General features: G+C 40.4%; 1 annotated feature.

The window, feature by feature from the left end:
* Positions 1-548: an enhancer, noted in NCBI's record as "OCT4-NANOG hESC enhancer chr6:15855489-15856036 (GRCh37/hg19 assembly coordinates)". NCBI's record gives its function as "activates a minimal SCP1, AML or CMV promoter by ChIP-STARR-seq in primed H9 embryonic stem cells {active_cell/tissue: H9 hESC(primed)}" and the evidence as "EXISTENCE:reporter gene assay evidence [ECO:0000049][PMID:30033119]".

Genomic DNA, 13,221 nt, shown 5'->3' with positions numbered 1-13,221 from the left:
TCTTGATTTGTACATTCTCTTTATGCATTAAGGATAGATTATTTGTCGTTTATCTACGTTGCAGTTTATCCCATTTTTGAAGACGTAATTGCCTAATCCTCTTCATCCAATGACTGATGAAACTGAAGGCAGTATAATACAGTGATGTAAAATTTGGCATAAAACAGCAAGAAAAGGTGCTTCCCAGAGCCTTGCAAGGTCCCCATGCAGGTAATATGGCCAAGTAAAAGAGGGAAGCACTTTCTCAAGCATATGTTGAATGACAAAGCACAGCAAAGCCCACACTCCAGGGATGCCGCAAAGTGTGAGTAGCCTGTTTCCCGCCCTGATTTGATAGGCCCTGTAATGAGTCTAGCCATGATTGTCAATGTGACAAAGGCCTCAGGGCTTTCCTGTCTCCTAAAAATCAGCTTCATATCAATTAGTATGTTTAGCGTGTCACCAGGGACAAGAGGGAGAAACAGTACTTCCTCCTGAGATAAACACTTCCATTTAGAGCTCATTAATAAAACCAGCTTGGGAAGTTGTAATCATAACTTAAGCAACAAAGACACACTTCCAGGTCAATGCTTTTGGGAGCAGGTTCATTTTTGTTGCTTGCTAAGGACCATATTAGGGCTTTAAGACACAGTCAGAATCTTTGCCTCAGCAAGACTTTAGAGCTCGTTTCAACTCCCAGCATGCTCTTAGGTCCAGTATTAACTTTTCATGTTTAATGTTTATTTTCAATAAGAGAAATAAATACATCATACTTTGTAATTGGGCGCTCTGGGAATGAATGACGAATAGTAACTGGAATGAGGAGGGGGATCCCCTGGGGACTGGACATGAATAGTTGTCTTAAAATCCAGAAAAGTAAAATAACTTAGGCATGTTACTGTTGTGTTTTGATTCTTACACATAAATATTTTTATGTTCTTGACCTCTGCTGCTCAATTTTGGTACTTTGAATGAGGATTTCAACGACATGAACTTCAACCTAGCACCTCCTCCCTCTCTCTACCACCCAACTTCAAATCAAGAACTGAGAGGCCAATCAATTACACAAGGATGATAAATTCTAATGCCAGTGAAGTGATGACACTTTAAAACTAGTTGCTCAGTTTAAGCTAAGAGGAAAAACTGTCTGGTGGAGTCTCTATTTTCATTTCCTTAGCCTTTTATACTAGTCAGGATAATTAGTGCCGGTTGCTATAACAAACAATCCCCAAAGCTCCATGGTTTAATAAGACACAGGTTTACATTCCTTTTACCTCACAGTCCAGTGCACAGCAGGCAGTTCTTTGCAGAGGCTCTCCTCCAAATAATGACTTGGGGATCCAAGCTCCTTTCATCTTGGGGTGCTGCCATCCAAAATTTGGCAGGTAGCTCTAATGGAAGGTAGCTGTGAAAGAGGGAGAGAGAACACAGAGCTGGTGGAAAATGACACAGGGGTTTTATAGCCATTGTCTAAAGCCTGGTAGCATAAGGCCAGGAATGGTGGCTCACACCTGGAATCCCAACACTTTGGGAGGTCGAGGCAGGAGGATCACTTGAGCCCAGGAATTCCAGACCTGCATGGGGACCTTGCAAGGCTCTGGGAAGCACCTTTTCTTTCTGTTTTATGCATCTTGCCTGGCAAGATGGCAAGATCCCGTCTCTACAAAACAATAATAAAAAGAATTAGCCAGATGTGGTGGCACACACCTCCCAGCTACTGAGGAGGCTGAAGTGGGAGGATCACTTGAGCCCAGCAGGCCAAGGCTGCAGTGAGCCATGATTGCACCATTGCACTCCAGCCTGGGCAACACAGTGAGACCCCATCTCAAAAAAAAAAAGACAGAAAAAATAAAATACAATATAATAAAATCTGGTAGCATGGCCCCAAACTAACTGTAAAGGAAGCTGAGGGATGGGCACAGTGTCTCACACCTGTAATCCCAGCACTCTGGGAGGCCAAGGCGGGTGGATCACTTGAGGTCAGGAGTTCGAGACCAGCCTGGCCAACATGGTGAAACCCCATCTTTACTAAAAATACAAAAATTAGCATGGCGGCAAGTGCCTGTAATTCCAGCTACTCAGGAGGGTGAGGCACAAGAATCGCTTGAACCTGAAAGGTGGAGGTTGCATTGAGCTGAGATCATGCCACTGCACTCCAGCCTGTGTGACAGAGTGAGACTGTCTCAAAAGAAGAAGAAGGAGAAGGAGAAGGAGAAGGAGAAGGAGGAGAAGGAGAAGAACAAGAAGAAGAAGAAGAGGAAGAAGAAGAAGAAGAAGAAGAAGAAGAAGAAGAAGAAGAAGAAGAAGAAGAAGAAGAGGAAGAAGGAGAAGAAGGAGAAGAAGAGGAGGAAGAGGAGGAAGAAGAGGAATAAGAAGAAGGAGAAGCAGAAGGGGAAGGGGAAAGGGAAGAGGAAGAGGAAGAAGAAGAACAAGAACAAGAAGAAGAAGAGGAGAAGAAGAAGAAAAGAAGAAGAAGAAGCTGAGAAGCATATATTCCTTTGTGCCTAGGAGAAAGAAAAGGAAATGAGATTTAGTGACCACACAGCATCGTCTGTACCACATCTTGATTGGTTTTACCCATATAATGATAGAACAGCTAAAAGGCCTTTTTAGCCCCTCTCTTTCTGTACTTCTCAGTCTCACCAGGATACATGAAATCTCCACATCACCATACCTTTCTTTAAGACTTTGCAGAATGGATTAAAAGAGTCTTATGACTCTCTACAGACTCACCTTTTGAGGAATGCCTATATCCTGAATGCTTTTTTCTGTCTCAGTTTTTCTCAGCGTCTTAGGAAGGCAGAGTCAGCTGCTTCCCACTCTAACCACATCAGATTATAGCAGGAGGTGTGCATAAGGGAGAAGAAACCTACATAGGCTGGACCTGAAGCAGTCCAGACACCTCCGAGATGGCTGGTGCAAACAAGGCAAAAAGAGATGACTCACACCAATTTGCTCCAAACAGCTTCATCAAATGCTCTCTTTCATGAATTGAAAATGCGAAGGGAACAAAGTGAGATCAGGCCTTCAGCTTTAGGTTGTTATCCTGAGATGCCCCAGCAAATTTCCCTATTGCCACATAGAAAGAAAACTGTCACCTTTGGTAACAGCATGCTGTTACCAAATGTGTACCAAATGAGGTAAAATAAACCTACCCATTTTTATAAGTTGTCTCAGCCAATCATTTAGTTCATAAGAGATCTTTGGGGAAATTCCAAATGAGGCCTGAGAATTCTCTGGCACACCAGAGAAGGACAAATGAAACCACTGCTCTTAAGCAAGGTAGGTCAAGGAAGGATGTGAGTAGTCAGGGGCCCATAGCAATTCTGAAATCTTATCAGGCTCCCCCTACCTAAGGGATAGGAAATGTTCCTTAATTAAGCCTCATTTCTGCTTCCTGGGAATAAGTCCCAAGTCCATTGTTCTCCATGACTCTTGACTGTACTCTACGGATGTCCCTCTGTTTTCAATATCTTTCTTGGCTACGTAAAAATAGCACTGTAGAATATGCCCTCTTAGAAGGGTGATCAACTGTCCCAACTTGTCCAGGACTGAGAGTTTCCTGGGTTGCAGGGCTTTCTGTGCTAAAACCAGGAAAATCCCAGGCAAACCTTGTCACCCTACTACCTTTTTGGCAGCTGGGGAGCTTTCTGAGCCTGCTTCCTACGGGTAGAAAGTTGGAGAATCAAGTTTGTCTTTTTTTGTTTTTGTTTTTGTTTTTCTTTTTAGCTTGTTAATAGTCACATCTCTTTTAAGCCAGCCTAGGGTGCTTTGCGCAAGATACCTCACTCAAAAACTTTGTTGACTTTTTGTATTTCATTCTCAACAACTCTATGTGACAAGTTATACCCACAATTTGTTTTGAGACATGCAATATACTTATTAATAGCTACTGCAATATATCAGACTTCCAATATGTCAGGTCCATTATGTCCCACTGGGGAAAAAAATCTATAGCTACCTCTTTAATCCTTGCAATGATCTTTTAAAAGCTTGATTCAGTCTTTCCCCAGAGGCTGAGCCTTAGTAAGCTTTTAAACTCAAAGAACTTTTCAATTTTCTCTTTTACTGGTTGGAGATGAGAAACAGTTTGATTTTTCATCCTGGAAAGTTCCAAAATCTTTGGCCTCTCTCTATTTCCTCTCTATTCTACTTTGAAACCAAACAGTTCTTTTCTGAACCTATTCCTTTCTTTTAGTACAGTAACAACCAGCTCACACTGTCAACATTCTGCCTCAAAACTTCCTACTCCTCTCATCATTTAATGAGCTATGTTATTTGCCTTCCCAATTTTGTCAGGTGACAATTTTACCAAGTGTTTTGCTACCACATAACATGGGTCACCATTTTTCCAACCTCTGTCATTGTTTTGCTACTTGCTTTCTGATCCCAAAGCCATAGCCACATATTACAGGCAAAACCCTGCTTCTGGTACCAATGCATGTATTAGAAAGGTTTTTACTGTGACAGTTCTGTATATCAAATAATTCTAAGATCTCAGTGGATAAAATAATAAACATTCAATTTTATACTCACATATCTGTAAGTAACCTGCAGTTCAGGTGATATTAGCTGGATTTAACTGAGCTAGGCTGGATTATAGAATTAACAGCAATTCTCCATCATTTCTGGGTTCATCTTTGAGCTGAACCTCCTAAACTAGCTAAAAGGTCACCATTCCCGATGACCTTGAAGGTGATGGGTCATCGAGATGCAGACACTGATTAACAATTCTACCCAGCTGGACTGAGCCAAACTCATTAAAATGTTGCAAACAATTTCATCTCTCACACTGGGAAAAAATAGTCATTCATTTCACAATATCATGCTTTGTTTTTATTATTGCAAAAATTATTATTCTTTTGCAAATTTATATTAGGTGTCCGTTAAGTCATTTGTGGTATAGTATTCTTTGAGATGAATAATACATTAAGCCATTGAGACTGGTAATGAAGAAAACCAATGAGACTGTTTCCACTACACATTTATCGAGTGCCAATTTTGTATACAAGAGCTGTGACGAGTAGAAAAACTGTCACTGTTTTCAACAATAATGATACTAACATATTATAATAATAATAATAATAACATAATACTGATAATACTTGTAACATAATACTTGTATCAGGCCAGGCAGCATGTTACTGCATTACATGCAGTAATACAACATGCAAAACAATCCTCTGAGACAGGTGATCTGTTATCCCTAATTTGTAGAAGAAATAATTGCACAGAAAGATGAAATACTTTGCCAAGGTTTTACACATATAGCAAGTGGCAGAGCAAAGATTCGAACCAAGGCAGTTTGCCATCAAAGCCCAGACTACACAAAACGAGCTTCACGCTGCTTGTAACCCAGTGAAGCAGACTGCGACGGTAATGCAAAACAGAAGACATTGGACCAAAGTGGATCAAGGAGAAAGGGGCTTTTGCATAAGGCTTGGGATGACTCATTATCAGAACTAGTTATCGACTTAGTGACCCCATGAGGTACAAGGACACAGGAGAGGTAAGTTTTAAGGGGAAGTATATACCTATTACTGTGTAAAGCCTAGGATAACTGGGAAAGGGCGGGCTTAAGAGAAATAAGGGAAACGTTCTAGAGTGGGCTGATGGCCGTGGAGTGACAGGAGCGCTCTGGGAAACAATAAGGAAAGTATAGAAAGGTGGGAGATGATTTTTTATCTATTTATTTTTGGAGACAGAGTCTCACTCTGTCACCCAGGCTGAAATGTAGTCGTGCATTCCATCTCAGCTCACTGCAACCTCTGCCACCTGGGTTCAAGTGATTCTCGTGCCTCAGCACCCCAAGAAGCTGGGATTACAGGCATATGCCACCATGCTCGGCTAATTTTTGTATTTTTAGTAGAGACAGGGTTTCGCCATGTTGCCCAGGCTGGTCTCCAACTCTTGATCTCAAGTGATCTGCCCACCTTGGCCTCCCAAAGTGCTGGGATTACAGGTATGAGCCACTGTGCCCTGCCTGATATTTTATAACAATACACCATTATTTAATGAAACTTGGCTCAGCCTGGCCTTGCCATAAGATTTAACTTTTCCCACTTTTTTTTTTTAAAAAACTTCATAACTAGACATTCTCAGTAAGATCTAACTCTATCAACCCAAAATTAGCCTTAGTAATAAAGGTAAATGTTCCCTGCGGATGTTACCGACACAGGCAAATGCATATCATGTGGTTTCTCTCCTCTGGATTTAAATGCGAGTGAAAAGCTATTATATTAACCTGCTGAGGTAATGACAATGACTACTTCAGTCTCTCCTACTCTCCTGAAGGGCTTTGGAATGATTTCTTTCCTTGCACTATTGTTACATGAGAAGATGCATTTGAAAAGTACCATAGAAATGTATACATCATCACGTACATGTTGGTTGTGACTGTGTAGATTTCAAGCAGAGGATAGCTTTAATTTCAAACATTACTCTGGCTGAAGATGAAGTTGTATTGAAATATCTCAAAAAATGTTAGCCAGGCCAGATTCTGAATACCAAAGGTCTAAGGATCAGACAGGTGATAGGGTATACCCAAGGGCAAGCTCATGGAGACCCAGGGTTAGGGTCTCCTTTGAAACCACTACATCATTCAGTCATTCAACAAATATTTATTGAGTGCCTACTGTGTGCCAGGCACTGTTCTACATGATGGGTATTTAGGGTTGAATGTGATCGACAAGACTCCCATCCAAAAGCAAGGACTCTCGAGATAAACTACTTCAATTTAAATCTTGGTGTTGCCATTTATGAGCTAGGTGACCTTGAAGAAGTTTCTTTTCCTCCATTTCCTCATCTGAAAAATAAAAGGGGTGTTACGAAGATTAAATGAGTTAATATAGCTAATACATTTAGAAAAATGCCAGGCTCATAGTGATGCTATGTAAATGCTTGTTAAATAAATGGAGTGTATTTAGTAAATCAAGATAGACATTTAATCAAAATACAAAGTAATGACAATTTGGTAAAACAGGGTAATGTGGAAAAGGGTGACAGAGTCCCCTTCAGTTTGGCCGCTCAGGGTGGGCGGTCTTCCAGCGGAGACCTGGATGACAAGAAGGATCCGGATGGTGGAAGGACTAGGCCCAGAGAGCTTCAGGTCATGAGAGACTAGAACAGGAGTGAGCTTAGCATGTTCTATTAGGTTGGTGAAAAAGAAATCGCAGGTTTTGCCATTACTTTTAATGGCAAAATTCACAATTACTTTTGTACCAACCTAACAGTAATAGGCAGAAAGCTAAGCCTAGCTGTGACATATGATAGAGCAAGTGAGAGATGGTGGGAGATGTGGGGAGAAGATCAGAGACAGGCAGAGACCAGGTCATGTGTGGCTTAGTGTATTGGTGGCTGGGATGAAGAGTTTTGAGTTCATTCAAAGGGCATTTCAAGGGTTCTGAGCAGGGAAGGAACAGGGTTTGATGTGTGTTTTAAGAAAGTCACTTGGCTGCTATGTACAGAATAGACATGGGGATGTAAGAGTGGGAGCCAGAGGCCAGACAGGCAGCTATTACTGTTGCTCAGGTGAGAAGCGATGCTAGCTTGGATGGGGATGTATATGATAGACAGGGAGCAAATAGAACATATGTGGGATGTGGTTTGAAAGTAGAATGGGCAAGACGGTACCATATAGGATATGAGAGTGATGAAAACAAAGGAAAGAGTGGGTTGAAGAACTGGGTAGAGGGTTGTACCAGATGGAAATATGAGAGAGATAGACGGCAAGGTGGGGAGACACTGGGCATCCAGGAATATTGAGCAAATGGCTAGAAAACCTAAGCATCAGTCCCAGCTGTGCCTCTTCCTGGCATTGTAACTTTGAGCAACAATCCCACTCTCATTCTAGTATCCATCATCAATGAAATGAGAATGGTAGTATCTTCCCCCATCACACCTTTTTATTATTATTTTGAGACAGAGTCTCGTCTATCACCTAGGCTGGAGTGCAGTGTCGCGATCTTGGCTCACTGCAACCTCCGCATACCAGGTTCAAGTGATTCTTCTGCCTCAGCCTCCTGAGTAGCTGGGATTACAGGTGTGTGCCACCATGCCCGGCTAATTTTATCTTGTGTTTTTAGTAGAGACAGGATTTCACCATGTCGGTCAGGCTGGTCTCGAACTCCTGACCTTGTGATCTGCCCACCTCAGCCTCCCAAAGTGCTGGGATTACAGGCTTGAGCCACTGCACCTGGCCTACTTCTTAGAGAGTTCTTAAGAATCACATTAGAGGCCAGGAAGTTCTAGGCTGCAATGCATTATGATTGCACCTGTGAACAGCCACTGCACTCCAGCTTGGACAACACAGCAAGACCCCATCTCTTAAAAAAAACCTCAAGCCATCCTCTAGCCTCAGCCACACAAGTAGCTGGGACTACAGGCACACCTGGCACTTGTCTCCTGAATATTAAGCTTTAATTTTTTGTTTCTGTCACTCTTGAAGATAGTAGACATTGACTGAGGCAAAAAATTAAAAGCTTTATATTCAAAATTTGCAAATTGAAGCTGGGTGTGGTGGTGCACACCTGTAGTCCCAGCTACTTGGGAGGCTGAGGCTGGAGGATTGCTTGAGGTCAAGTATTGGAGGCTGCAGTGTACCATGATGGTGCCTATAGGAAGAGCTACTACACACCAACCTGGACAACATATCAAGACCCCATCTCTTAGAAAAATGCAAAACTAAATGCAAAAGAAATGGGTTGGGCATAGTGATTCATGCCTATAATCTCTGTACTTTGGGAGGCTGAGGTGGGAGGATTGCTTGAGCACAGGAGTTCAAGACCAGTCTAGGCAACATAGTGAGACCCTGTCCATAAAAAAAAATAAATAAATAAATAAATAAATAAATAAAAATAATTAGTTGGATATGGTGGCACGTGTCTGTAGTCCCAGCCACTCTGGAGGCCTAGGTGGGAGGATCACTTAAGCCCAGGAGGTCAAGGCTGCAGTGGGCCATGATCATGTCACTGCACTCCAACCTGGGCGACATCCAGACCCTGTCTCAAAGAAAAAAAAAAAAAGAAAAATGTTCAAACAAGGGATTGTGAAGGTTTGTAGCATTTATACTTCTATAAGTATCAAAGCTTACAATTACCCTAAACTTTTGGAATACCTTGTATCTCCATAAAATGCCTTCCTCTTTTTAAAAGTAGTTACCTGCAGAGCTGTGCTCTATATGCTTTGATCACCAAAGTTTCTTTAAAGGAAGATTTTGAAGATCAGTGTTAATTAACATGTAATAAAAGGAATTGGACCCTAATGATAGAAGGTGATATGAACAGCTGTTTTATCATACTACATGCTACCAAGCTGTAGGTGTCCCATTAAGTCTTGCTATTTAAGAAATAACTTACATAACCCTTAGGAACTCTTACTTCAGGCTTTAAAAGGCAAGGAGCAAATAATATTAGGAGACCAATAATGTCACCTAAATTTGAAATACTAAAAAGAGATTAGTGTTCTCAACTATGTGAAATCTATTTGTCCTACTTTCTCAAATCTAATCCTAGGAATCTTGCTTATAAACAAAGCATTTCTGGGCCAGGAATACTTCCTCTACTACAGCAATGCTTCACATCATATTATGCTGCAGTTTCCATCATTTTTAAAGGACAGAGACATAAATGATAAATAACGGTATAAAAATATTACAATCTACCACCTCAAAAAACAAAATTGTTTATGGAATTCGGAGCTTGGAGATTCAAGTATTGATTGCAGTTTTATTTTGAAAAGAATGCTACAATTTATGTGGTTTTTATTTCTCATGTTTATATTAAAAGTTAATAAACTCTATTTTCATTAAAAAAGAATCACATTAGATTATAAAAGTAAAAGGATTAGAAACACATAAGCCATTGTATAAATGTAGTGACATTATTATAATTTTCAGCATGTGTGAGGCCCAATATCTCAGTGATTGAATACCGGTGCTTGATAGAATTTGACAAAAATATTAAACAATATATTGTAAAAGACCAGACAAATCAGGATGTTTCCCTTTAATACACTAGCAGAAGAAAGCTGAATGCACAGCCGAGTGCTGTGGGCATTGTCACTTCTGCCTTCTCGTTACAACCCAGTGGCACTGGCAACATTCTTATCGTGAAGCCAATGGCTGTATTCTTGATTTAATGCACTCTGTCACTGTTTAAAGGAATTTTGTGCTAGCTTTGTTAAGTGGGAGAAAATTCACAACGTCAAGATGTCACTTCCAAAGTTAGTGACCTAGTCAGAAAGAACTGTTAAGCAGGGGGAGGAAAATCAATCCTTTCTAGCTTTCATGGAGTAATAGACTCTAACAGATAATGGGCTAAGGGCTTCCTTACAGTTTAGTGAATTCGCAGATAAACCAAACCCCTGAATTTCATTATGTGCAACAATGCTGTCTTTGTCTAAAGCTGTTTTGGTCATTGGAGCATTAGCTATTATATTAAAATAATGGAAATGATCTAAAAGTACAAGAGGAGCTTGGTTAAATTATGGTATATACCTACAATGAACCGGTTAAACAGGTTGCATATAATATGGTGATGTTTATAACATAATGTTAAGTGAAAAACTCAGGTTATAGGCTTGGTATAGTATGACACACATCCTCATTTATGTTTTTAAAATATGTATCTACATGTTTATTTTGTGTGTGTGTGTATATATATCTGCTTCTTTTACAATTTTGAAACAATTTAAAATGTTTAGAAAAATTACCAGTATAGTACAAAGACCTTTCATCCTGAGCTATTTTTGAGTAAGTTGCTGATAAGAGGAGTTTCAGATGAGCCACCAGGAGCTGTCTCAGTTCCTGGTGGCAGGGGGACTTAGGGGCTGGTGTTTGTTTGACTCCTGTTTCTCAAAACACTTAAGGAAGAACATTTTAAGTATTATCCATATGGTAATTTTCTAACACATTTCCAAAGAAAGAGTAGCTTATACATAAACGCTAACATGACGTGTTATCTCAGGAGACTCTGAGTTACCCTTGGGAAAAAAGGATGATTACATTCTATTTCTATAACATTCTATTTTATACTTGTCTAACACCTATCGACATGACATTAGCAACAATAAATTGCCCAGGACACTTATTTAAATGTGACCTGAATTATTAAAATCTCCATTGCCAAATATCAGATTTTTAACTTAGTTTTTAAAGATAATGGTTCTTTCTAGATTTACACAAATTTTTACACCATTTTCCCAGCTTCTGTTTTTTCATTTTATTTTATCCCCCTCGTTGTCCTAGAAACAGTACCAGAATTATTCATTTTCAGAAAACATTTTTGTATTGCTTACATGGCAAGTTCCTCCCATTATTTTGGAAAATAAATGAATTGTATGTTCTTTGAAAATAAAATAAAGCACAGGGAGAAAAACATTACAGGAAAATTATAAAATCCTAAGTTCAAAAAGAAAACTAGAGATTCAAGACAGCCAGCTAAATTCTGTGCCAACCCTGGGTTTCTGACATTCTCCTCTGATGGTGTGATTTGCAGAGCTGGTTTACTTTTGGTGCCCAACACTTAGACAGCTATGGTGGTCAAAAAAGTCCACCCTTGGGTAGATGTTCAAATGTCGCCTAGGAGGCCCACAGTGTACCTAGAGACAGGTGGTGGTTGGATAGGCTGGGAGGACTTCGGAGAGGTGAAGTGCTGTCTTTCTTAAATACACAGATAAATGTTGAAAGAGACATCCTTCAGTGTAGAAAAGAGGAGGAAAAGATAGTTCTGAGCTTCTGCTGTGTTCTGCAACTCCCACTCTCAAAAAAGAAGCAGCCCAACCCTATCTTCATGCATCAAAGGAAGGGGAGAGAGTTAAATTATCAGTTGGATAACCATCTCTTGACACCATTAAACCTCAAATGTCTCCAGGGTTGAAGTCAATTACCAGGTCTTAGTTTTTCTCAATCTTTTCTTCAGGTTTCAGTGCAATTTCAAGGACTTCCTTTTGCTGCAAAAGTACCACTTGTCTCATCTGCAAACAGTCCTTGACTTCATACAGCTCATATTTCAGAAGGTCATGTTTTGGTTTTCAATACATCCAAGCCCTACTTTTTAAAAAAATGCAAAATCAAATGCCAATTTGGCTGCTTTAGGATCACCAAAACAAGTCTGCACTTGTGAACTGTTCCAGCCATTCACGCGTTATCTGTAGATATTGACTTGTCGTGAAAACAAGAATACCTGAGTGGTCTTCCCGGCTTTGCCCATAACTAGCTGTGTGGCTTTAGGGAAGTCACTTGACTCTGTGGCCTATGTCACCAGAAAAACTCTAACGTCCTTTCTGCCCAATGGACGTTAACAATGCCTTTAACAAAGGCATGACCATAAATTGGTTTTTAAGAAATCAAAGAGGTCATTTATGTACCATGACCATAATTTATCTATGACAAGACATTTTTATAATGTCTGAAACAACAGCGACAGTAGCTGCTATTTTACCATGTTGAAAACAGTTACTCAGTTGTTTTGCTTTTGAATGAAAAGATCCTTCCTTTCCCCACCCTAGACCCCCTCAGTGAGATCCTATGTTTCTTTAGGACAGGAAGTTTTTTTTTTCAACTCAGAGTGCTCTGTATCCGGGGGGAAAATCCAGTGGCAACATCAGCAAGAGCTCCTGGGGCTCTCTGCAAGAAATTTTTCAGGATATCAGATTTCTGAGATTGAAGAGTATGAAATGCATCTTGGAAACAAGGTAATAAATGATGCATTTGGACAGGAATCTCTAGAGAAAAAAATAAGGGAAAATTGCTGGCTTGATTTTGCAGTAAAATTACCAGGCAGCCTGAAGAATAAAAGGGCATACATTCCCAGAAAAAATATCATGATTACAATAAAGTTGACCAAGTTACATGTGGGTGAATAGGGGCCAGCGTTCTGAGTCATCCAGGCAAGAAAGCCAGAAAGGCAGAAGGAGCTGGAATGAGAAATGTTAGGGTAGAGAAGGATGAAGGGAAAGGGTGATCAACTGCAATAAACCACCTGCCCCATGCTCCTTCATAAGTCCAGGCACTGCACTCTGGGCCCACTGAAGAGATCCCCATTGTGACGGTGAATTGTATGTGTCAATTTGACTGGGCCACGGGATGCCCAGACATTTTGCCAAACATTATTCTGGGTGTTTCTGTGATGAGATTAACATTTGGATCAGTAGCCTGAGTACAGCAGATTCATGTGAATGGGCCTCATGCAATCGGCTGAAGACCTGAATGGAACAGAAAGATTGAGACAGCAGGAACTCATC

The sequence above is a fragment of the Homo sapiens genome, chromosome 6 (genome assembly GCF_000001405.40).
Source record: "Homo sapiens chromosome 6, GRCh38.p14 Primary Assembly".
Taxonomy (NCBI): domain Eukaryota; kingdom Metazoa; phylum Chordata; class Mammalia; order Primates; family Hominidae; genus Homo; species Homo sapiens.
This window is presented reverse-complemented; position numbering and strand designations above follow the sequence as displayed.